The 23,769-nt window shown below is 48.2% G+C and overlaps 1 protein-coding gene across 12 annotated transcripts in view, besides 5 other annotated features; it reads right to left on the bottom strand.

Annotated features, from left to right (window-relative positions):
* Positions 1–5,556, bottom strand: part of STXBP1 (syntaxin binding protein 1) — an 84,118-nt gene extending 78,562 nt beyond the window's left edge. For 11 of the 12 annotated variants that reach the window (NM_001374314.1, NM_001374308.2, NM_001374310.2 and 8 more), the window contains exon 1: positions 5,028–5,191. In NM_001374314.1, coding sequence (NP_001361243.1) covers positions 5,028–5,064 — 37 coding nt within the window. In that variant the 5' untranslated portion in view covers positions 5,065–5,191. Of the gene's footprint in view, positions 1–5,027; positions 5,192–5,420 lie in introns of those variants that run through there. The other variant, NM_001374309.2, reaches the window with a different exon arrangement.
* Positions 4,881–5,470: a silencer, noted in NCBI's record as "silent region_20307". NCBI's record gives its function as "represses an Ori minimal core promoter by ATAC-STARR-seq in GM12878 lymphoblastoid cells {active_cell/tissue: GM12878}" and the evidence as "EXISTENCE:reporter gene assay evidence [ECO:0000049][PMID:35858748]".
* Positions 8,620–8,849: a silencer, noted in NCBI's record as "silent region_20306". NCBI's record gives its function as "represses an Ori minimal core promoter by ATAC-STARR-seq in GM12878 lymphoblastoid cells {active_cell/tissue: GM12878}" and the evidence as "EXISTENCE:reporter gene assay evidence [ECO:0000049][PMID:35858748]".
* Positions 8,620–9,158: a biological region, named in NCBI's record as "H3K4me1 hESC enhancer GRCh37_chr9:130370589-130371088".
* Positions 8,659–9,158: an enhancer, noted in NCBI's record as "H3K4me1 hESC enhancer chr9:130370589-130371088 (GRCh37/hg19 assembly coordinates)". NCBI's record gives its function as "activates a minimal SCP1, AML or CMV promoter by ChIP-STARR-seq in primed H9 embryonic stem cells {active_cell/tissue: H9 hESC(primed)}" and the evidence as "EXISTENCE:reporter gene assay evidence [ECO:0000049][PMID:30033119]".
* Positions 18,436–18,955: an enhancer, noted in NCBI's record as "H3K4me1 hESC enhancer chr9:130360792-130361311 (GRCh37/hg19 assembly coordinates)". NCBI's record gives its function as "activates a minimal SCP1, AML or CMV promoter by ChIP-STARR-seq in primed H9 embryonic stem cells {active_cell/tissue: H9 hESC(primed)}" and the evidence as "EXISTENCE:reporter gene assay evidence [ECO:0000049][PMID:30033119]".

Here is a 23,769-nt window from a genome sequence, read left to right as displayed (position 1 = left end):
AAACCCCGCCTCTACTAAAATACAAAAAATTAGCCGGGCGTGGCAGCGTGCGCCTATAGTCCCAGCTACTCATGAGGCTGAGGCAGGAGAATTGCTTGAACCCAGTAGGCGGAGGTTGCAATCAGCCGAGATCGCACCACTGCACTCCAGCCTGGGCAACAGAGTAAGACTCTGTCTCAAAAAAAAAAAAAAAAAAAAAAAAAGGAATAGTATATTTAAGTGACTAGGACAGTGCCTGGCACATCATAGGTTCTCAGTAGGTGGTCATTCTTATTATGACTTAGAGCCTGGCACAATCTGGGGAACTTGGTGATACCCAGACAGAACCAGAGAGGCATTCTCTGTTTTCCTGTTAATAAAAATATTTTTAAAACCTTTATTTTTTAAATTATAAAAGTAGAGCACACTATACATTTTAAAGAAGAAAATCAAATACAGAAGTGTGTAAAGTGAAGGCATCTGGTTGCTGGGCTTGCTCTCCTCCCCGCTTTTCTACTGTGTCCTAGCCCAGTTCTGGAGCTCTTGTTTTCATTCTGGGGTAAGAGAGCCCCCAGGATGGCCTCCAGTGGTCCCTGGTTCCTGGTATTCACACGCTTGTGTAGTCCCCTCCCACTTTGTGCCAGCATTGGTCTGTGTGATGGATAGGATATGGTAAAAGTGATGATGGCCCTTCTAAATTAGGTTATAGAGACTGCGGTCTCCAGGTCTCCATCTCTTTTGGGTCGCTGGCTCTGGAGGAAGCCGGCTGGCTTCCCAGGCGAAGCCCCTGTGGCAAAGAACTGAGGTATCCGGCCAACAGCCTGCTGGATAACTGAGGCCCACTAACAACAGGAGTGCCATTGGAGGTGGATTCTTCAGCTCTGGTCTGGTCTTGAGATAGCTACAGCCCATTGATGTAACCTCCTGAGGGGCCCTGAGCCACAACCTCCCAGCCAGGCTGCTCCCCTCCCAGACCCTGACCCTCAGGATGTCTGAGACAATAAATGTTCATTGTTTTAAGCTGCTAAGTTTTGGTGTAATTTGTTATGCAACAATAGATAACTAATAGATGTCTTTTGTCTATTTTTTATTTAGTTTTTTTTAAAAACAATTTAAGGAAGCTCTCTACAGATAGATAGATAAATAGATATCGGCCCTTTGTTATATGCTGCAGATACTTTTCAAGCTTATTTGTCTTTCAAATTGCTTTTTGGTGTTTTTACTGAATAGAAGTATAGTCATATCTGTCAGTCTTTTCCTTAATGTTTTCTAATAATGTTTAGAAAGCTCCTGCACAATAATATAAGGAAAAGTACATCTGTTATTATCTACTACCTTTATCATTTTATTTATTTAATCCCTATGGGACTTATTTTTGTGAACATGTGAAGTACAGAAGTAAATTTATTTTCCCCATCAAAATGTAGCCAACTGCCTGAATATCATATGTTGAGTTTTCTTTCCTTTCCTCACTGACTTAAAATGCTACCTTTGCCATATATGGGATTCTTATCTGGACCTACTCTAGACTTCTTGTTCTATGTCATTGATCTTTTCACTTTCCCTCTCATCTGGTAGTGCTACAATGTTTTGGTAATCGTAGCTTTACAGTATGTTTTGAATCTGGTAGGTGAAAATTCCCATTTTCTTTTTTTTTCAAAAATTTCTTAGCTCCTCTTAGCTTAGCCTTTACCATTCCAGATGAATGTTGGGACTTTTGTAGGAATTTTATTAAATGTATAGGTTAATTTAGCAAGAACTGATATTTTTTCATATTCTTCCATAAAGCAACATAGCATTCTTCTCCATTTATGAAGGTCTTGCTAACTTCCTATTAGACTTATTCCTAGAGTTTGTTGTGACAGCACTGTGCTAGACACTAGTTCTTACCCCCAGCGAACTTATGGTCTTACAATTAGTACAAATAATTTATTAATTGCAACTGTGATAAGAATTACAAAGGAAAGTCCAGGGAACCGTGATTACAGGGAGGCCTGATGGGATTGGGGAGGTTAGAGGTTTCTCTACAGGGACATTTAAACTACTCCTTTTAGTTCTGGATTACTAGGAGTTTTTGTTTTGTTTTTAAAAGCAGATTAACTTGTTTTTCAGTTTCTACTGAGAAGATTATATAGTTTTAAAATTTTCATTTCTTAATGTCATTCTAATATTGAACTATTGTGTTTCTGAAATAAGCTCTACTTGATTGTCATTTTTGTTTTTAATGTATAATTAGGTTCTTTTTTTTTTGAGACAGAGTTTGGCTCTTGTCGCCCAGGCTGGAATGCAGTGGCGCAATCTCAGCTCAATGCAACCTCTGCCTCCCAGTTCAAGCAATTCTTCTGCCTCAGCCTCTTTTAGAGAAAAGGGCAAAGCTAGAAACCCTATCCAAAATTAGAAGCCAGAATTAACCTGCGTCATTGACAAAGGATTTCAACATTTTTCTTCTAAAATTTATACCTAATTGTTATAGGAATAGAACTCTGTTCACATAATCACCATTTTTTTTTCTTTTTTCTTTTCTTTTTTTTTTTTTTTTTTGAGATGGAGTCTTGCTCTGTTGCCATGCTGGCATGCAATGGCACGATCTCGGCTCACTGCAACCTCTGCCTCCCAGGTTCAAGCGAGGGTTCAGCCTCCCGAGTAGCTGGGATTACAGGCACCCACCACCACACCCAGCTAATTTTTTTTATTTTTAGTAGAGACAGGGTTTCACCATGTTGGTCAGGCTGGTCTCGAACTCCTGACCTCAGGTGACCCGCCAGCCTCGGCCTCCCAAAGTCCTGAGATTACAGGCATGAGCCACTGCACCTAGCCATCCTCACCAATTTTATGTAAAATTGCTTTGTTATCTTTGTGTACAATGGGTTTGCTTTATTTCAGAAAGTAAATTCTGACCATGCTTGCATATTGATTTTTTTTTACCTTTATGCTTGCTTCTAATTAAAGGTGGGGGAAGGGGATTATGGAGCCACTTGCATAAACAAGGGTTCCAGCAAAATGATGCAAAACTTGATTTCTATAACACTTGAGGATTTTATCTTCAATGTGTAGTGTTCAAATATACCATTTTATTTTACTTTTATATTTATAGAGATGGGGTCTCACTATGTTACCCAGGCTGATCTTGAATTCCTGGGCTTAAGCAATCCTCCCATTTCAGCCTCCCAAAGTACAAATGTAACATTTTAAAGAATACAACCTGTAACATTCTATTCTATATTTCACGCTTTAAAAGGATATTGGAAAGAAAAGATACATACAGAATAATGAAGAAAGTTATTTTTTACTAATGTTGCAAGGAAATGCCCACCAGGTTTCACCAAATTAACACTGATTGTGTCAAGTCACTTAACTGCTCTAAGTCTCCATTTCTTATTCATGGGTAAAATGAGATGTTGACATTAGAGGATCCCTATGGGTCCTCCTAGCCCTAAACATCTCGAGTACAAGTATCAGAACCCGTACTGCATGGGTACAATGAAGGTGTTACGATGAGCACCTTTTAAAATTTTGTTTCATTTGGTGTTCAGTTTTTATAACAATTTTCTTCTGATGTAATAGGTGAGATAAGGTTTTACAACTAGATTCCTCAGTAGGAGTATTTCCTATATATCAATGAAAAGAATGGAGAGGGGAAATAAAACAGCTATGGTGCCCAACAAGAACACTACATGGCCAAAAGCATTCCACAGCGAGCGCGCGCTACGATAGGAGAGAATCATTGGAAAGGAAACTAGATTTCCACCATTTTATTCTTTTTCCTTTCTTATCCTCTCCTACAGAGAAAAGCCCAGTTTTAATCTTCACTTAATCCCCAAAGAGATAGCAAAAGCCACAGCAATCCTTACACATTTTTTTTGTTATAAAGAAATGGACAAAATATTGACAAGGCACTGTTTTTCCACACATATCACCAATCTTATTTAGCACTGTGGATGCCGTTTTGCAAATGTCACCCACCATCAGCCCTCGCTCCGCTGCGGCCGCCACTCGCCGCCACCCACTTTTAAAAATCCATTCATGTGGTGCCTTTCATCCAAACCCATAAACAACCATTTCCTCCCTGCCACCGTGGTCTGAGCTCCCGAAGCGTTCGGCCACGGCAGGGCAGAGCCCCGCAACCAGGGAGATTGCAGACTGCGGCGCTGGGCGGCGGACACCGAAGCTCTCCTCATCTCCCGAGTGATTTCAGGGGTTCAGGATCCTGATAAGTCCCCGCCCTGGAAGCCAAGCCCCGGGAAGGGGAGGAGTGAGGTGGCCCCGGCCCAGCAGAGCTCAGCCTCCGGAAAACAGGCGTCTCCTCCCCAGGCCAAGCCACTGCGCCTAGTCTCCCAGGTGGGTCTCGCAGCCAGGGACCGCGGCGCGGCCCGGGGCGGGGGAGGAGGACGCAGGCCAGGATCTCGCTCGTCACGACTCACCCAGGAGGGTGGGGAGGAGGAGGGACTGCAGGAAAAGGGAGCGGAGTCTGGGCGCTCAAGGAATAAAGACGAGGAAGGGGAGAGGGGACTGAGGGGAAGGTAACGGGGGTGAGGATGGGGGTGCGGGGGAGGGTGACGGGCTGCAGGGGGTAGAGGCGAGATGAAGGAGAGGGACGGGTGTTGGGGGTGAAAGAGGGGGAAGGAGGGTGGGATGGGGGAGAGGCGGGATGGAGAGAGTGGGGTGAGGGAGGGGTGGAGGAAGGGGGAAGGATGGGGCGAGGGGAGAGAAATGGGGGTGAAGGGAAGAGAGGGAGGGAGGGATGGAGGGGAAGGAGGATGCAGGGAAAAGGGAGACAGGGACCGCGAGGAAGGAGGATGGCGAGGGAGGAGGGCGGGCTGCAGGGGGAGGGCTGGGGTGAAACATGAGGTGAGGGAGGGGAGAGCGGGGCAAGCCTTCCTCTCGCGCGGGCGGCGCCTGAATAACGGGACCCCACGGACCAGGAGCCTCAGGCCCGGGGCGCAGGGCCGGCAGCCCGCTCGGAGGCCTGGGCGCTGCCGGCAGGGGCCGCGCGGGGCTCCTCGGGAGCCGCAGTCCCCGCCTGCTGGAAGGATCCCGGCTCCACTTACTCTCTCCGACAACAGCTTTGAGGCCAATGGGGGCCATGGCGCTGCGCGAGTCTCCCGGCTCCGATCTCCTCGTCCCGCGACGCCTGCGGACCCCGCCGCCTCCTCAGGTGGGCGCGCTGGGCCAGCCGCAGCTCTCCGCCCCGCAGCCGCGCTAGGGACCGACTGACGCGCGGACTGGGCGCGGGGGCGCGGCGCGAGCCAGAGCGAGGCTGCCCCGCCGCCGGCGCGCGCGGGGGCGGGGCAAGCCGGGGGCGGGGCCTCGCGCCGGCCGTTGGCGTCACCCACTCGCCTCCGCCAATCGCACTGCGGCCCGGAGGCTCAACCCCGCCCCCCGAGATGCGGCTGGGCGCCAGGCGGCCGCTGGCTGGTGCGGAGCCGCGCCCTCCCCCTCACCTCACGCGCCGCGCGCGCCCGGGGCGCAGGGTACCCAGGCCTCCTCTTTCCCGTCGGTGCTGGGATCCCTGGCCACAGGCTACCGACGCGCTCCATCTGCCTGAAACCCCGCTCGGGTCCTGTCTTTCCTCTTTCTGGGAGCTTCCGTTTTTTCCTGCCCACGGAAGGAGCTTGGAGGCGAGATCTCTTACTAGCAGCGCCCACTCCCAGCCGCAGCGAAGCCAGGGTGAATCCACCCACAGCACCTCCCTGTCGCTGGGTACCTGCATTCGTGCATTCACCAACACTGAGTTCTTGTGTCAAACTCCGTGCCAAGCACCTCGCGGGCATCATCTCATCAAATCCTCCAATCACTGGGCATTGCTTTTTATTTTGTTTTGTTTACACTCCTCTTAGCTCATACCTATGGGCATTATTTTTAATCTCCATTTTCCGGTGGAAAAACCAAGTCTCGGAGATATTGGAAATAGCACTAGACTTACCTTCAGGCAGCGTAGCATCCGTTAGCTAATGTTCAGTATTCTGTCACTTTTATGTGTAAGCCGTTATTCTGTCCCCTGGAGCTACGACCATGTACAAGGCAGAATCTCATCTTGCTTATGGGCGCTCAGAGTTTAGAAGTTTCTAAGCCCCAAATCTGATACGAATATACTGTGGGACCGACTCTGGTCTCAGTATCTCCTTCCTGGAGTCCGTATTTATTAAAGCGGTCCCAGGTCAGTTTTTGCTCAACTTTCTTTGTTAATAGGAGATACTGCTTTTCTTTTTCTTTTTTCTTTTCTTTTCTTTTTTTTTTTTTTTTTTTTTTTTTTTTTTTGAGGCAGAGTCTCGCACTTTCGCCCAGGCTGGAGTTCAGTGGCTCGATCTTGGCTCACTGCAACCTCCGCCTCCCAGGTTCAAGTGATTCTCCTGCCTCAGCCTCAGAGTAGCTGGGATTACAGGCGCCCGCCACCATCGCCTGGCCAATTTTTTGTATTTTTAGTAGAGACGGGGTTTCACTATGTTGGCCAGGATGGTCTCAGATACTACTTTTGAAATATGGGGGAGGGCTTGCTTTTGGCTTCAAAGTAACACAAATTGAGCCAATTAAAAATAAAAAAGAATAAGAGAGCTAGTAGTAGTAAAAATCAGTGAACATTCATTAAATATTTGGAATACATTTGAGCTAGGTTTTTAATCTTCATATTATTAAGATGCATAATAATATTTTACAGATGAAGAATTGAGATTCAGAGTGGATAAGTGCTTTATTAGTAAATGACAAAGGAAAGATCCAATTCTAGGATCTGAATTCTGAACCATTATCTTATACTGAGCAAAAACAAAAAACAAAAAACAAAAAACCTGCTGAGAACTAAGGAGGAATTTTCCAAAGTCACAGAAGCCAGTGGTGGCTGAGCCAGGACAAGAGGCTACATGTCCTACTTCAGTCGCCAGCCCCAAGTCAAGCAGATTTGACCATCTTCTCACCACCACCCCAATCTACCCCCAACAGAACCTTCAGATGGGTTCAGAGAGAGAGGAGGCGTTAATGTGTCAACTCTCTATGTCTGGGCCTTGCCTTTTGCCCAGGAAACATATTGATAGCCCCTGTGTGTATTTGGAGGAGGAGATAGTGTGTAAACATGGGGAGACCTAGGATGCACTGGTAATGCCACATGCTTCCTCCTTCGCCAGCTGGCACATATCAGCAGAGACTCCACAGTTTCTGTATCTGCCATGAAAATATAAATTTGAAGCTGGAAAATTCCTTAGCAGCTAAGGAGTAGGAATGGCCAAGGGCTCCTCTTGTCACTCATCCAGTCAGTGGGTCAACAAGCGTTTATTGAGTGCGGCCAAAGTCTGGGCCATGTGCTGTGGGTAAGATGGAGACAATTTCTGTCCTCAAGGAGCTGGTATTCTAGCTGAGGGACAGACAGGAAACAAGGTGTTACAGCATTGAGTGACTGTTCTGACAAGTGCTGAAGCAGATGGAGAAGGGGCTGTAAGAGTGGATAGCAAGGCACCTGGCCCAGTGGACTGGCTGGGGTACAGTCAGAGCTGGCTTCCTGAGATGGGAAAACGGTGGTAAGAGGGACCTGGGAGAGTGTCTAGGCAGATATACAGTAGGTACAAAGACCCAGCGGCAGAAAGGAGTTTGGCTCTTCCAGGAACAGAGAAGGGACATTGTGACTAGAGAGGAGAAAGCCTGAGGGGTAGGGCTGGAGGAAGAGCCCCCAGGGTAGGCCTGGATGCCAGGATCCAGGACTTCTTAGTGGCCTGGGATCCGTGTTCAGGGACCTTCTCAAAGGTCACAGCAAATAATATATAGTAGCTTCTTATTTTCTGTAGAAGGAAGGACAAAAAAAAAAAAAAAAACAAAACAAAAAAAAGCCTTTCCTGCAGATGTGTACCTGAGATGTTCACTGGGGATGACAAAAATCAGAATGGATGTTTTTTTAAAGTAGCATGATTGGAAGATAGAGCGGGGTGACAGACTGTGAATCCACCCAGGAATTCAGGTTGGGAGCGCTGATTTGGCATCCAAGACCTGGTTGGAGACCTCTTGACATCTTTGAGCCTTGTGTCCCCATCTGTGAAACGGGGACAAATAAAACTTCCAGGCCTCTCTCCCAGGGTGACTGAGAAGCCAGCAAAATGATCCACTTGAAAGGGTAAAATACGGCCAGGCATGGTGGCTCACGCCTGTAATTCCAGCACTTTGGGAGGCCGAGGCGGGCAGATCACAAGGTCAGGAAATCGAGACCATCCTGGCTAACACAGTGAAACCCCGTCTCTACTAAAAATACAAAAAATTAGCCGGGCGTGGTGGTAGGCGCCTGTAGTCCCAGCTACTCGGGAGGCTGAGGCAGGAGAATGGCGGGAACCTGGGAGGCGGAGCTCGCAGTGAGCCGAGATGGCGCCACTGCACTCCAATCTGGGCGACAGAGGGAGACTCCCTCTCAAAGAAAGAAAGAAAAAAAGAGTAAAATACTCCCTCAGCTATCACACAATACTACCCTTTGCTCTGTATTCTTAATTTGCATTTACTGGGAGTTTGATACATGCCAGGCACTGTGCAAAAAAAGCTCTCATGAATTTTCACTGGATTCTCACTACTGCCCTATGAGGTCGGTGCTATTATTATCTCCACGTTCCTGGGGCGCAGAGAGATCAAGTCACTTGTCCAAGGTCACACAGCTCTAACGGCTGAGCCAGGACTCTGACTTCCTGATGACCAGGGGAGAACGTCGAGCGCCCAGGGTGCAGCTCCAGTGCCCAGACCTAAGGTGAGGTTTGGCTGTGTGGACAGCTCGTTGGGAGAGTATCAGCAAAGAGAATCAGCACCCTCGGGAGTTTGGACCCAGGCGGGTCCGCGCCCCCGACCCGGTCCCAGCGCCAGGGCCAGCCGGGGTAGCAGCCGCAGGATGCGCGGGGTTGGTCGGCGGCACCAGCCAGCGGGCGCGCAGGTGCGTCCACAGCTGCGCATGCGCGGCCTGCAGCCTCCGCAGAGCCGGGTGCTGGCCCAGCGCAGGGGTGGGAAGAGTACTGCGATTTACGCACGGGTCACGTGGCGGCGGGGAGTGCTCCAGGTGGGCCGACCGCTGCGGAGAGGAGCGGGGGAGAGGCTGGCGATCAGGACAGATGGAGAGGGAGCGGCCTGGAGAGACCGAGAACGAGGAGACAGAAATAGCAATGGAGCCAACCAGCGGGAGAGAGGCCACCCCTCCACCGGACCTCCTGAGTCCTTCACGCGGTATCACAAGCTTGTCCCCTCCCTGCACAACTGGAGCCTGTTGCAGAGCCCTGGGGCCAGTCTGGGCCGCTTCTCCGACAGCCTCGGGCTGCACCTCCCTCCCTTCTGCTTTTAAGCTGCATCATCAGCTGCGGTGTTCTGTGTTCACCCACATCCCCTCCTCCTAGCCTCTGGGCCGTTTGATTCTGCGACACTCCTTTAGGAGCAGTTTCTAAAGAATTCAACAAGATAATATTTATAAGGTACTTTATCCAGGACTGGGAACCTGGTAAGGCTCAAGTGAATGTTAGCTATTAATATCCTTCTTAAAAATGACACATCATTAGGCTGAATTAAATCACTGCTAAATAGATAGGTATGGGTTATGGAGAGTTCAGTCTGTGTCCCGCTTATTTGCTGCTAGATTCATTGGCAAGAATGAAAAGTAATTGTTTCTGTCGCTGTCACCCCCACCACCATGCATACATCTACAAAGAGCAGCTGGGCCTGGAGTACTTAAGTTTGAGACATCCTTGCACTCAAGAGTGAACCGTTTTTGAGTTTGAGGCCACACTGCAGTATCAAAAAGGCTTTGTTTTCAAAAGCCCAGGAGAGGGCCTCAACTTCAAGGGACCGCAGAGGCCAGGGTAATGTAATACCACAGATAGTAGCCAGCTGCAGAGCACATGACTTGCCCAGAGGAGTAGTGCTTGCTTAGCTCCAGTCAGTGGTTTCCCTGCAGCAACTGAGGGTCTAGAATGTAGAAATTATGCAACATCTCCCAATGTTTAGGTGTTGCAATGGATTTTTTTTTTTTTTTTTTTGAGTCAGAGTCTCACTCTGTCGCCCAGGCTGGAGTGCAGAAGCATGATCTCTACTCACTGCAAGCTCTGCCTCCCGGGTTCAACCGATTCTCCTGCCTCAGCCTCCCGAGTAGCTGGGATTACAGGTGTGTGCCACCTGGCTAATTTTTGTATTTTCAGTAGAGTCAGGGTTTCACCATGTTGGTTGGCTAGGCTGGTCTCAAACTCCTGACCTCAACTGATCCTCCCGCCTCGGCTTCCCAAAGTGCTGGGATTTCAGGCATGAGCCACTGCGCCAGGCCAGCAATGGATTTTTTTTTTTTTTAACCTGTAACACAGCCCAGGAAATCCTGAGAACATGTGCCCTGCATTTTAAAAGATGATAACACCACACTGCCCAAACAGAACACATATGAGGACCACATTCATCCCCGCGCTACCTGCATGTAAACTCTAAGGAACTGGAATCCTTCCTCCCAAAGTGAGAGGTCGGATTCCCCCAAGGGCAAGAAGAAGGAGCAGCAGATGCCCAGAGAGGCACTGATGCTCCTCCTCTCATATAAAGTCCCCTGGTGAGCAGGGCTTTGGACTAGGGGTGGGGATGGTGTAAATGCCTGGGCACCAAGCACTAGGACTTCAGTCTCTAGGGCCACAGAGGGGGTCCTTCTGCTTAGCCAGGCTCTGGGGCAGTGCATATAGCCAGTAGGGCCAGCCTCTTTTTCTTGGATTGGTAAGCCCTGTAGTGGAAGCTTCTGAGAGTGGCTGATGTGGGCAGCTCAATTTTGCCCAGACTGTGTAAGCCCTTGAGTCCTGGTACAAGCCCAGGAACAAAGAGGAGTCACTGGGGGAAAAAAGCCAGACATTAGAAGTGGGGGCTTAAAGCAGGTTTTATCCAATTAAAAAAGAAAGAAATATGGCATTTTTTACATCTTGGGTATCACAGAAAAATTCATACCTTTCAACAGATTAAATTATTATCAAGGCTGGGCATGGTGGCTCATGCCTATAATCCCAGCACTTTGGGAGGCTGAGGCAGATGAGTTGCTTGAGCCCGGGAGTTCGAGACCAGCCTGGGCAACATGTTGAAATCCCATCTTCACTAAAAATACAAAAATTAGCTGGGCATGATGGTGCATGCATGTAATCCCAGCTAACTGGGAGGCTGAGGTGGGAGGATCACTTGAGCCCTGGAGGTCGAGGCTCCAGTGAGCCAAGGTTGCATCATGGTGCTCCAGCCTGGGAGACAGAATGAGACCCTGTCTAAAAAATAAATAAATAAATAAATAAATAAATAAATAATTGTCAAATCCCAGAGGAAAGAGTTTTCATTCCAACTGGGGAAACTGTTTTGTTCATATATGTTTTGGCATTTCAGCTGAGCCTGGAGGCTGAGAAGAGAAAGGGGTTCAAATCCAATTTTTGTTTGTTTGTTTGTTTATTTATTTATTTATCTTTTGAGATGGAGTCTTGCTCTGTGGTCCAGGTTGGAGTGCAGTGGCATAATCTTGGCTCACTGCAACCTCTGCCTCCTAGACTCAAGCAATTCTCATACCTCAGCTACCTGAGTAGCTAGGATTACAGGCGTGTGCCATGACACCCGGCTAATTTTTGTATTTTTAGTAGAGATGGGGGTTTCACTATGTTGGCCAGGCTGGTCTTGAACTCCTGACCTCAAGTGATCCACCCACTTCGGCCTCCCAAAGTGTTGGAATTACAGGCATGAGCCACCGCATCTGGCCCAAATCCAATTTTTTTAAAAAGAGTATAAATAGGCCAGGCGAGGTGGCTCATGCCTGTAATCCCAGCATTTTGGGAGGCCGAGGCGGGTGGATCACTTGAGGTCAGGAGTTCAAGACCAGGTTGACCAATATGGTGAAACCCCGTCTCTACTAAAAATACAAAATTACCTGGGCATGGTGGCACATGCCTGTAGTCCCAGTTGCTCAGAAGGCTGAGGCTGGAGACTCACTTGAACCCAGGAGGCAGAAGTTGCAATGAGCCGAGATTGCACCACTGCACTCCAGCCTGGGCAACAGAGTGAGACTTCATCTCAAAAAACAAACAAACAAACAAACAAAAATTAGCCTGGCTTGGTGGCACATGCCTGTAATCCCAACTACTTGGGAGGCTGAGGCTGAAGAATCACTTGAACCTGGGTGGCAGAGGTTGCAGTGAGCTGAGATTGTGCCACTGCACTCCAGCCTGGGCAACAAAGCGAGACTCAATCTAAAAAAAAAATTATTATTTGTCAATTAAAAATAATAAATAAAACATCTTTAAAAAAAGACTAGACCCATGCTTCCCAAACTATGCATAGATGCACCCTTGTGTACCACACTGCATTTACAGGAGCATGATAGAATATTTAAAATTTTTACTTTATCTTTTTTTTTTTGAGACAGGATCTCACTCTGTTGCCCAGGCTTGAGTGCAATGGCATGATCATAGCTGACTGCAACCTCAAACTCCTGGGGTCAAGCGATCCTCCCACCTCAGCCTCCTGGGTAACTGGGACTATAGGTGCATGCCATCATACCCAGTTAATTTTTTTTTTTGAGACGGAGTCTCGCTCTGTCACACAGGCTGGAGTGCAATGGCGCGACCTCAGCTCACTGCAACTTCCACCTCCTGTGTTCAAGCGATTCTCCTGCCTCAGTCTCCTAAGTAGCTGGAATTACAGGCGCAAACCACCACACCTGGCTAATTTTTATATTTTTAGTAGAGATGGGGTTTCATCATGTTGGTCAGGCTGGTTTCAAACTCCTGACCTTGTGATCCGCCCACCTCGGCCTCCCAAAGTGCTGAGATTACAGGCGTGAGCCACCATGCCCGGCCATTTTTTTGTATTTTTTATACAGACAGGGTCTCACTATGTTGCCCAGGCTGGTCTTGGACCCCTGGCCTTAAGCAATCCTCCTGCCTTAGCCTCCCAAAGTGCTGAGCTTATGGGTGTGAGCCACTGTGCCCAGCCAAATATATATATATATATTTTTTTTTCTTTTTTTCTTTTTCTTTTTTTTTTTTTTTGAGACAGAGTTTTGCTCTTTTGCCCAGGCTGGAGAGAAGCGGTATGATCTCAGCTCACTGCAACCTCTGCCCCCAAGGTTCAAGCGATTCTCCTGCTTCAGCCTCTTTGCGTAGCTGGGATTATAGGCGCCCGCCACCACGCCTGGCTAATTTTTGTATTTTTACTAGAGACGGGGTTTCACCATGTTGGCCAGGCTGGTCTCGAACTCTTGACCTCGGGTGATCCACCTGCTTCGGCCTCCCAAAGTGCTAGGATTACAGGTATGAGCCACCATGCCCAGCCCAGCTGAATATTTCAAACTTTGGAGGGAAACACAATTATATTCACCTTTGGGTGAACAGTGTGAAAACAGCTAGCTGGAAACAGTACACAATTTCAACATTAAGCTCTACAACTTTGCTTTCTGTGGTATTATATCTTTGTAATACTGGGTTTTCAGCAATCGATGTGATAATGTTACTGGAAAAGAGTCTCAACCCGGACCCTAAGAGAGGGTTCTTGCATGTCACCCAGGAAGGAATTCAAGACATGTTGCAGAGTGCAATGAGAAGAGGTAGTTTATTAAAAGCTACTCTGGGCTGGGCTTGGTGGCTCACACCTGTAATCCCAGCACTTAGGGAGGCCAAGGTGGGTGGATCACTTAAAGTCAGGAGTTTGAGATCAGCCTGGCCAACATGGTGAAACCCTGTCTCTAATAAAAATACAAAAGTTAGCCGGGCATGGTGGCATGTGCCTGTAATCCCAGCTACGCAAGAGGCTGAGGCAGAAGAATCGCTTGAACCCAGGAGGTGGAGGTTGCAGTGAGTCGAGATAGCACCGTCGTACTCCAGCCTGGGCAGCAAGAGCGAGACTCCATGTCAATGAATAAAAGAAAAGAAAAGAAAAAAGAAAGCTACTCTGTTACAGTCAGGAGGGTGTCCCCAGAAAGCAAGAGGAAGAATGCCCTGTCTTTGTTTAAGTTATTTCTTATAAGGGGTCTTGTCTACGTAAAAGCTAAGCCAAGCCTGTGTCTACGTGCGGGTGAGCAGACAGCATGACAAAATTTATTACTCTCTTGATTTAAACTATCCTTAACATTTTAGTGTGTGAGTACATCAAAGCATAACTATAATTATCTTGAAAGCATATATTGTTATGAGTATTGGTACATCCAAACTATAAACATCCCATGACTATGGGTCATGACCAGCAAGAAATGTGCTTTGTTAGTTTCAGGATGGAGCTGAATTTAAAATGGTGTCACTCTGGCTGTCCTAGGCTCTTGCTTCCCTAACAAAGAGAAGCAAATAACTCAACTGGTCGAGGTGGCTCAGACCTGTAATCGCAGCACTTTGAGAGGCTGAGGTGGGAGAATCACTTGAGCTCAGGAGTTTGAGACTAGCCTGGGCAAAATGGCGAAACCTCATGTCTACAAAAAATACAAAAATTAGCCAGACATGGTGGCACATGCCTGTAGTCCCAGCTACTTGGGAGTCTGCTAAGGTGGGAGGATAGTGTGAGCCAGGGAGGTTGAGGCTGCAGTGAGCTGAGACTGCATCACTGTACTCCAGCCTAAGCAACAGAGTGAGACTCTGTCTCAAAAAAAAAAGAAGAAGAAAATAATAAATTACTCATGAAAATCAATGTGGAACACAAAATGAGAGTGTTGGCCAGGTGTGGTGGCTTATACTTGTAATCCCAGTACTTTGTGAGGCTGAGGTAGGAGGATCGCTTGAGCCCAGGAGTTTGAGACCAGACTGGGCAACATGGCAAAATCCTGTCTCTGGGAAAAATACAAAAGCTAGCTATTCACTGACTATTTGGATGTTAAAAAAAAAAAAAAAAAAAAAAAAAAAAAAAAAAAAAAGGCCAGGCTCAGTGGCTTACGCCTGTAATCCCGGCACTTTGAGAGGCCGAGGTGGGCGGATCACAAGGTCAGGAGTTCAAGACCAGCCTGGCCAACATGGTGAAACCCCATCTCTACCAAAAATACAAAATTTAGCCGGGTGTGGTGATGTGCGCCTGTAATCCCAGCTACTCAGGAGGCTGAGGCAGGAGAATCACTTGAACCCGGGAGGCAGAGGTTGCAGTGAGCCGAGATGGTGCCACTGCACTCTAGCCTGGGTTACAGAGCAAGACTCCATCTTGAAAAACTAATAATAATAAAAAACAATAATAATAAAAGCTAGCTGAGCACGGTGGTGTGTGTCTGCGGTCCCAGCTACTAGTAAGGCTGAGGTGGGAGAATCACTTGAGCTGGGAGTTTCAGGCTGCAATCAGCCATGATCTCGCCACTGCACTCCAGCCTGGGTGACAGAGCAAGACCCTGTCTCAAAAAGGAAGGAAGGAAGGGAGGGAGGGAGGGAGGGAGGGAGGGAGGGAGGGAGGGAAAGAGAGAGAGAGAAAGAAAAGGAAGGAAGGAAGGAAGGGAAAGAAAGAAAGAATTGGTATCTAATGTGATTCCAAGATTCCAAGAAAGTACACATATCCCATTAACTAAGTAATCATGGTGTCTTACTCCATTTTGTGCTGCTAAAACAGAATCCCATAGACTGGGTAATTTATAAATAACAGAAATTTCTCATAGTTCTGGAGGCTGGGAAGTCCAAGATCAAGATACTGGCATGTGGTGAGGGCCTTCTTGCTGCATCATCCCATGCAGAAGGGCAAAGAGAGGGCAAAGAAAAGGGGAAAGAGAGAAAGGGAGAAGGAGAGGGGGAGGAAACAGAAGTTAGGTATTTTTTTTTTCTTTGTAGAGAAAGGGTCTTGCTATGTAGCCCAGGCTGGTCTCGAACTCCTGGCCTCAAGCAATCCTCCCACTTCAGTCTCCCAAAGTGCTGGAATTACAGGCATGAGCCATCATACCCAGCCCTGGTTGGCTATTTCTTTTGACCTAGGACTGCTATGAAAAGAAATCACTGAGACATAAAAGCTGCTATGTTTGGGCACCTCTGGCATAGGCAAAGAAAGTGTGGTGTAGTGGCATTTAGCAATATTTATTGAGCGCTTACTGTGTGCCAGTCATTAATCTAGGCAGTGGTGATACAGCAAGGAACAAAAGAGAAAAATCCCTGTGGACAAGAAGCTGACATTCTAGAGGGAAAAACAATAAATATCTCAGCAATTTATGTTAGGACGTAAAAAAATAAATATAAATAAAAACAATAATAAGTCAATAATAAACTTATTCATTAGTCAGGGCGTGGGCTGAGCGTGGTGGCTCAGGCCAATAATCCCAGCACTTCAGGGTATCGAGGTGGGAAGAGTGCTTGAGCCCAGGAGTTAGAGACCAGCCTGGGCAACATGGCAAAACCCTGTCTCAACAAAAAATGTAAAAATTAGCCAGGCATGGTGGCACATGCCTGTAGTTCCAACTACTCGGGAGGCTGAGGTGGGAGGATCACTTGAACCCAAGAGATCAAGGCTGCAGTGAGCCATGATGGCACCACTGCACTCCAGCCTGGGCGACAGAACAAGACTCTGTCTCTCCCTCTCTCTCTCAATATATATATACTCAAATGAGTATACATGTATGTACTCATTTCAACCTCACAATCATCCTATGAGGTAGTTACTATTATTATCCCCATTTTACAGATGAGGAAACAGCCATTTGTCCGGGGTCACACAGCCAATAAATGATAGGGCAGGGATTTAGACCCTGGTGTGTGGCAGATGAGGACGGAAGTGGAATGCAGTACGCTGTGGTTTGGACTTTATTTCTCTCTCCATGAGAAACCATGGAAGGTTTTCAAATATAGAAGTGACATTTAGGCCGGGCATGGTGGTTCATGCCTGCAATCCCAGCACTTTGGGATGTTTGTGAATAGCTACTGCACTCCAGCCTGGGCAACATAGTGAGACCCCGATCTCTTAAAAAAAAAAAAAAAGATATTGTGCATGAAGCACTCAGCACATAAGAGTACTCAGGAAGTGGTAGGTGTTATTCCTTTTTTTGTTTTTTTGTTTGTTTGTTTTTGAGACAGAGTCTCACTCTGTCACCAGGCTAGAGTGCAGTGGCACAAACTCAGCTCACTCGGCTCACTCTGCCCACTGAGGCGGGCGGATCACCTGAGGCCAGGAGTTCAAGAGCAGCCTGGCCAACATGGTGAAACCCCATCTGTACTAAAAATACAAAAATTAGCCGGGCATGGTGGCAAGTGCCTGTAATCCCAGCCACTTGGGAGGATGAGGCAGGAGAATGGCGTGAACCCAGGGGGCAGAGGTTGCAGTGAGCCAAGATTGTGCCGCTACACTCCAGCCTGGGTGACAGAGCGAGACTCCATTTAAATAATAATAAAAAAAGGCCGGGTGCGGTGGCTCACGCCTGTAATCTCAGCACACTGGGAGGCCGAGGCAGGCAGATCACGAGGTCAAGAGATCGAGACTATCCTGGCCAACATGGCGAAACCCCATCTCTAACTAAAAATACAAAAATTAGCTGGACGTGGTGGCACGTGCCTGTAGTCCCAGCTACTTGGGAGGCTGAGGCAAGAGAATCACTTGAACCTGGGCGGCGGAGGTTGCAGTGAGCCGAGATCGCGCCACTACACTCCAGCCTGGTGACAAAGGGAGACTCGGTCTCAAAAAAAAAAAAAAAAGTGGCATTTATTTATTCATCTGTTTAACATTCAATAAATAGTTATCATGTGCCTGTGTTAACAAACAAAAATAAAACACCAGTGTTTGTTCACCCGGTAAGTAACCGCAAGACTCGGGTTTTGATTAGTAGGAGTTTTATTACTTGGTGCAAGTAAGGAGGGCACTGGGAGTATTCTCCAAAGCAGTGCCTCCCTGAAGAAAAGTGACAGGAGGGTTTTAGGGGGCGACAGAGAGAGGAGAGGGTGCGTTGTGGCATGTAGAGGAGGGGTCCCAGTTGCGCAGAGTCAGTGTGTCATCATGCCAGCACATGAGTGTGGTGTTAGGGTAAGAAGCTATAGCTCCTCCGGGGTGGAGACTTCAGTGTACTAATGAGGAAAGTTCACTTGAGTTCATCTATAAGTTGCCAGGGTCTGTCAAGAGCTGGCTTAAACCAACAAGGTGGCCAAATTCTACGGGGTTTGGGGAGGAACAGGCCTCAGGGAGGAAGGCTGTAAAGCAGGCTGATTGCTCAAGTTGATTAAATTCCTAGAATCCCTGGGGTCCTGCTGCCTGCTTACACCCGCTGTGTGCCAGCACTCTGCCTGTGCCGAGCACTCCAGGTTGAACTTATAGACATAATCACGCCCTCGGGGACTTCCAGTAAGGCAGGGCTGAGCACTCTGCCAGGGGTGCAACAGAGGATCTAGGAGGACAGATGGGGACATGCAGCCCAGCCTGGGACCTCGAAAGGACTCTTGGGGAAAGGCAAAGTTGAAACCTAAAAGCTGAGCTAGAATTTGCAGGTTGAGGAGGGGCGTGGGAAGCAGAGAATATTCTGAGCAGAGGCAACAGCATGGGTGAGGAAGGCCCAGTGACCTGTGATCTGGCATGTTCACGTTGGCACAGCCTACTTGGCGGCAGACTGGAGGCTGCAACAGAGGTGAAGGTACCAGGGTGGGAGGCCCCTGGGAGGCTGGTGCAAGAGTTCAGGCTGGACACTGTGGAGTCCTACCCTGGGGGCTGGAATGGGAGGGGCTGAACGTAACTGAGACGAATAAGAATAATACCTCTTGGCCGGGTGGTGTGGTAGCTCACGCCTGTAATCCCAGCACTTTGGGAGGCCGAGGTGGGCGGATCATGAAGTCAGGAGATTGAGACCATCCTGGTCAATATGGTGAAACCCCATCTCTACTAAAAATACAAAAATTAGCTGGGCATGGTGGCACACACCTGTAGGTACTTGGGAGGCTGAGGCAGGAGAATCACTTGAACCCGGGAGGCGGAGGTTGCAGTGAGCCAAGTGAGCCGAGTTTGTGCCACTGTACTCTAGCCTGGTGACAGACCAAGACTCCGTCTCAAAAACAAAACAAAACAAAACAAAACAAAAAAATAACACCTGCCACTTCCTGAGAACTCTTATGTGCTGAGTGCTTCATGCACAATATCTAATATATATATATATATATGTATGTGTGTGTATATATATATATATATATATATATATATATATATATATATATATATATATTTTTAGAGATCGGGGTCTCACTATGTTGCCCAGGCTGAAGTGCAGTAGCTATTCACAAGCATAACCATAGCTCACTGCAGCCTGGAACTCCTGGCCTCAAGCATCGTCCCACCTCAGCCTCCAGAGTAGCTGGGACTACAGGTGGGTGACACTGCACCCAGCAGCACAAGATCTCATGATGATTTCTACGCATTTTCTAGGTGAGGAAACAGACACGACACATCCTGGGGCATGAATGTAGCAAATTCCAAGCCAAACCAGGACTTGAGCCTGGCGTTTCTGAGCCCAAAGCCTGGACTCCTTCCCACACAGCTCTGTTGCCTGTCTAGATTTTAGAGCCATTTTGAGCCAGACACAAAAGTATACATTATGATTCCATGCATATAAAGTTTTAAGAACAGTCTATGATAAAGGAAATTAGAATAATGATTGTCTCATGGGGATGGAGGGTGAAGAGTATTGACTGGGAAGAGAGATGAGAGGGACTTTGGAAACGCTCTGTGTCTTGATGTGGGTGGTGGTAACATGGTGCATATTTATGTAAAAATTCATGGAGCTGCTCACTTAAGAATTATATATTTTGGCTGGGCGCAGTGGCTCACGCCTGTAATCCCAGCACTTTGGGAGGCCGAAGCATGCAGATCACCTGAGGTCGGGAGTTTGAGACCGGCCTGACCAACATGGAGAAACCCCGTCTCTACTAAAAATGCAAAACTAGCCGGGCATCGTGGCGCATGCCTGTAATCCCAGCTACTCAGGAGGCTGAGGCAGGAGAATCGCTTGAACCCCAGGAGGCAGAGGTTGCAGTGAGCCGAGATTGTGCCATTGCACTCCAGCCTGGGCAACAAGAGTGAAACGCCGTCTCAAAAAAAAAAAAAGTGTGTATTTTATTGCATGCATATTATACTTTGATTTTTATTTTTAAAGAGCCTCCTGGAAGAAGTGCCATTAAAGGCAAAACTTGAAATCATTTTGGATAATTATTATAATCATATATGGAATGTATATGATATATCAGACATACCATTTATTGGGCACTTATGATACGTGAGGCACTGTCCTAAGTGCTATGCATAATATAATTTTTACGGTAGTCTTGGGGAGGTAAATATAGGCATGCCCATTTTACAGAGGAGAAAACTGAGGTTTCAAGAAAGCAGGGACAGGCTGGGCGTGGTGACTCACACCTGTAATCCCAGCACTTTGGGAGGCCGAAGCAAAAGGATCACTTGAAATCAGGAGTTCGAGGCCAGTCTGGCCAACATGGCGAAACCAATTCTCTACTAAAAATACAAAAATTAGCTGAGCGTGATGGTGTGCACCCGTAGTCCCAGCTACTTGGGAGGCTGAGGCAGGAGAATCACTTGAACCTGGGAGGCTGAAGTTGCAATGAGTGGAGATTGCGCCACTGCACTCCAGCCTGGGTGATAGAGCAAGACTCAGTCTCAAAATAAATAAATAAATAAATAATAAAAATATAGGCTGCCGTGTGTGGTGGCTGGCTCACACCTGTAATCCCACAGCTTTGAGAGGTCAATTTGAGATCACTTGAGCCCAGGTGTTCGAGACCAGCCTGGGCAACATAATGAGACACCCCCCCAACATCTCTACAAAAAATAAAAAGATTAGCCGGGTGTGGTGGCACATGCCTGTGATCCCAGCTACTCAGGAAGCTGAGGTGGGAGGATTGCTTGAGCCTAAGAGTTTGAGGCTGCAATGAGCCATGATCGTGATTATGTCACTGCACTCCAGCCTGGGTGGCAGAGCGAGACCCTGTCTCAAAAAAAAAATTAAACAAAATAAAATTTAAAATAATAATAATGGCCATGTGCGGTGGCTCACGCCTGTAATCCCAGCACTTTGGGAGGCCGAGGCAGGCGGATCACTTCAGGTCAGGAGTTCGAGGCCAGCCCAGCCAATATGGTGAAACCCCATCTCTACGAAAAACAAAAAAACTGGCAAGGTGTGGTGGCGCATGCCTGTAATCCTAGCTGCTTGGGAGGCTGAGGCAGGAGAATTGCATAAGCCTGGGAGGTGGAGGTTGCGGTGAGCCAAGATTGCGCCACTGTATTCCAGCCTGGGTGACAGCGAGACTCCATCTCAAAAATAAATAAATAAATAAATAATAATTATTTTATTTTATTTATTTTTTGGAGATGGAGTCTCACTCTGTCACCCAGGCTGGAGTGCAGTGGCATGATCTTGACTCACTGCAACCTCCACCTCCCAGTTCAAGCGATTCTCCTGCCTCAGCCTCCCGAGTAGCTAGGATTACAGGCATGTGACACCACACCTGGCTAATTTTTGTATTTTTAGTAGAGAGAGGGTTACACCATGGTGGCCGGGCTGGTCTCGAACTCCTAACCTCAGGTGATCCACCTGCCTCGGCCTCCCAAAGTGCTGGGATTACTGGCATGAGCCACCACGCCCGGCTGATAATAATAATTTTTAAATAAGTCAGAGACTTGTCTGGGTCATGCAGGAGGTGGCTTGGCCAGATTTCTAGCTGAGGTTCGTCTGACCCTACATCCATGCCCTTGCTACTGCTGCTCCCACCTTCCCATCAGGAAGTGGTGGGACTTGGGTTACAGAGGATGAGGAAGTAGAAACCAGAGCTGGCTCTGAGCAGAGACGGATGTACTCCTTCGAAGGGCATGTCTCCTTCCAAGGCTCTGTACCTAATTCTGTATTTGGAGTTTTGTTTTGTTTTGTTTTGTTTTGCTTGAGATGGACTCTTGCCCTGTCACCCAGAATGAAGTGCAGTGCTGCAATCTCTGCTCACTGCAACCTCTGCCTCCTGGGTTCAAGCAATCCTCCTGCCTCAGCCTCCTGAGTAGCTCGGATTACAGGCGCACCACCACGCCCCGCTAATTTTTGTATTTTTAGTAGAGATGGGTTTTCACCATGTTGCCCAGGCTGGTCTCCAACTCTGACCTCAAGTGATCCACCTGTCTCGGCCCCAAAGTGCTGGGATTACAGGCATGAGCCACCGTGTCTGGCCTTCTTTTCTTTTTCTTAAAGACAGCCTCAGGCTACTGAAAGCTTTTCTAGGTCTTCTTTACAAGACACTGGTGCTGGGGGCGGATGATGAGGACACCCAGGGTGCCCTGTCATAACTGGAGAAGGCAAAGTACTCCTAAGTCAGGATCTTACCCTGCCATGATGCTCCCTGGATCTAATGATGGGCCACCCATCTTCCTAGCCACCCACGGAGCCAGGGAGGATCCAGGTTTTCTGGGGCCTGAAGCTTCAACAATTTGGATGGCTCACACCTGTAATTCCAAAGCTTTGAAAGGTCAAGGTGAGAGGATCACTGAGCCTCTACGACCTGCCTATATTTTGCTGTGAAAAGCAGAGGCGCCTCCTGCTAACTCAACATTAAACACAGGTTGTCTGCCCTGCCAACCTCCTCCCTCCCTCCCTCTCCTTTTGTCTCCCCACCCCCGCTTTTCCCCACTCACCCCTCTCCCTGACAGCAGCACCTCCCCGCCTCCCCCTACAGAATCAGGGCCCAGAGCCCTCCCCACAGTCTGAGCAGGACTCCTAGCTTCTGGGGAGCCGGCAGTTTGAGCTCCGAGTCTGGCCCTGCCCTGTTGGTGACCCGGGGCAGTCACTTCTCTCTGGACATCAGTTTCCCCATTTCCCATGCACACATAACCTGGGCCCTGGGCTCCTTGTCCTGAAGCACAGTGGATGTCTCTGGCTCTCCCCTAAGTCAGGGAGCAGGTAGACAAGGGGGCTCATGCTGGGGCCCTGGCTCCCCTCCTCACCATCTGCGGCTGCCCTGGCGGTATCTCAGGTGCCTGTCATTGGGTAAGCAGGGGAGGCAGGCTTGGGGTCTCTGGTCTGATTGTCCATAAGCTCGGGGCTTACTGCCCAGACCTTTGGAGCATTCCCATGCAGGGTCTCATGTAGGCCTCCCTCCCCCACTTCAAGGGACTCCCCCCTCTGATGCTCTGTCTCCTTTTTTTTTTTGAGATGGAGTTTCACTCTTGTTGCCCAGGCTGGAGTGCAATGGCATGATCTCAGCTTACTGCAACCTCCGCCTCCCAGGTTCAAGCAATTCTCCTGCCTCAGCCTTTCAAGTAGCTGGGATTACAGGCATGCGCCACCACGCCCCGCTAATTTTTTATTTTTAGTAGAGATGGGGTTTTTTTCTCCATGTTGGTCAGGCTGGTCTCGAATTCCTGACCTCAGGTGATCCACCTGCCTCCACCTCCCAAAGTGCTGGGATTACAGGCGTGAGCCACCATGCCCAGCCGATGCTCTGTCTCCTTAACCCTCAAATTCTTCCCTCACTTCCTTCCAGGCTATAACCCTTCCCCTACCTGTTGATACATCCCCTATGAATACATCCTAGCCAAGCCCTGGGTACATGGAGGTGATGTTTAGGCAGATGTTTAATACACAAAACAAAAATAAGGGCAGGGGAAAAAAAAGGAAAACCAAACCAAACCAAACAAAAATAGCAGCTATTTTGCTGAATGGATCCCCAACCATCTGAAAACATCTGGGCAGGGCATGGTGGTTCACATCTGTAGTCCCAGCACTTTGGGAGGCCAAGGCAGGAGGATTACTTGAGGCCAGGAGTTGGAGACCAGCCTCCACAATATAGCAAGATAGAGCCCATGTCTCTACAAAATAAAAATAAAAAATTAGTGGGGCATGGGGGTGTGAGCCTGTAGTCCCAGCTACTTGGGAGGCTAAGGCAGGAG

The sequence above is a fragment of the Homo sapiens genome, chromosome 9 (genome assembly GCF_000001405.40).
Source record: "Homo sapiens chromosome 9, GRCh38.p14 Primary Assembly".
Lineage (NCBI taxonomy): Eukaryota > Metazoa > Chordata > Mammalia > Primates > Hominidae > Homo > Homo sapiens.
Note: the sequence above shows the minus strand (reverse complement) of the source record. Positions and strands in the feature narration are given on the sequence as shown.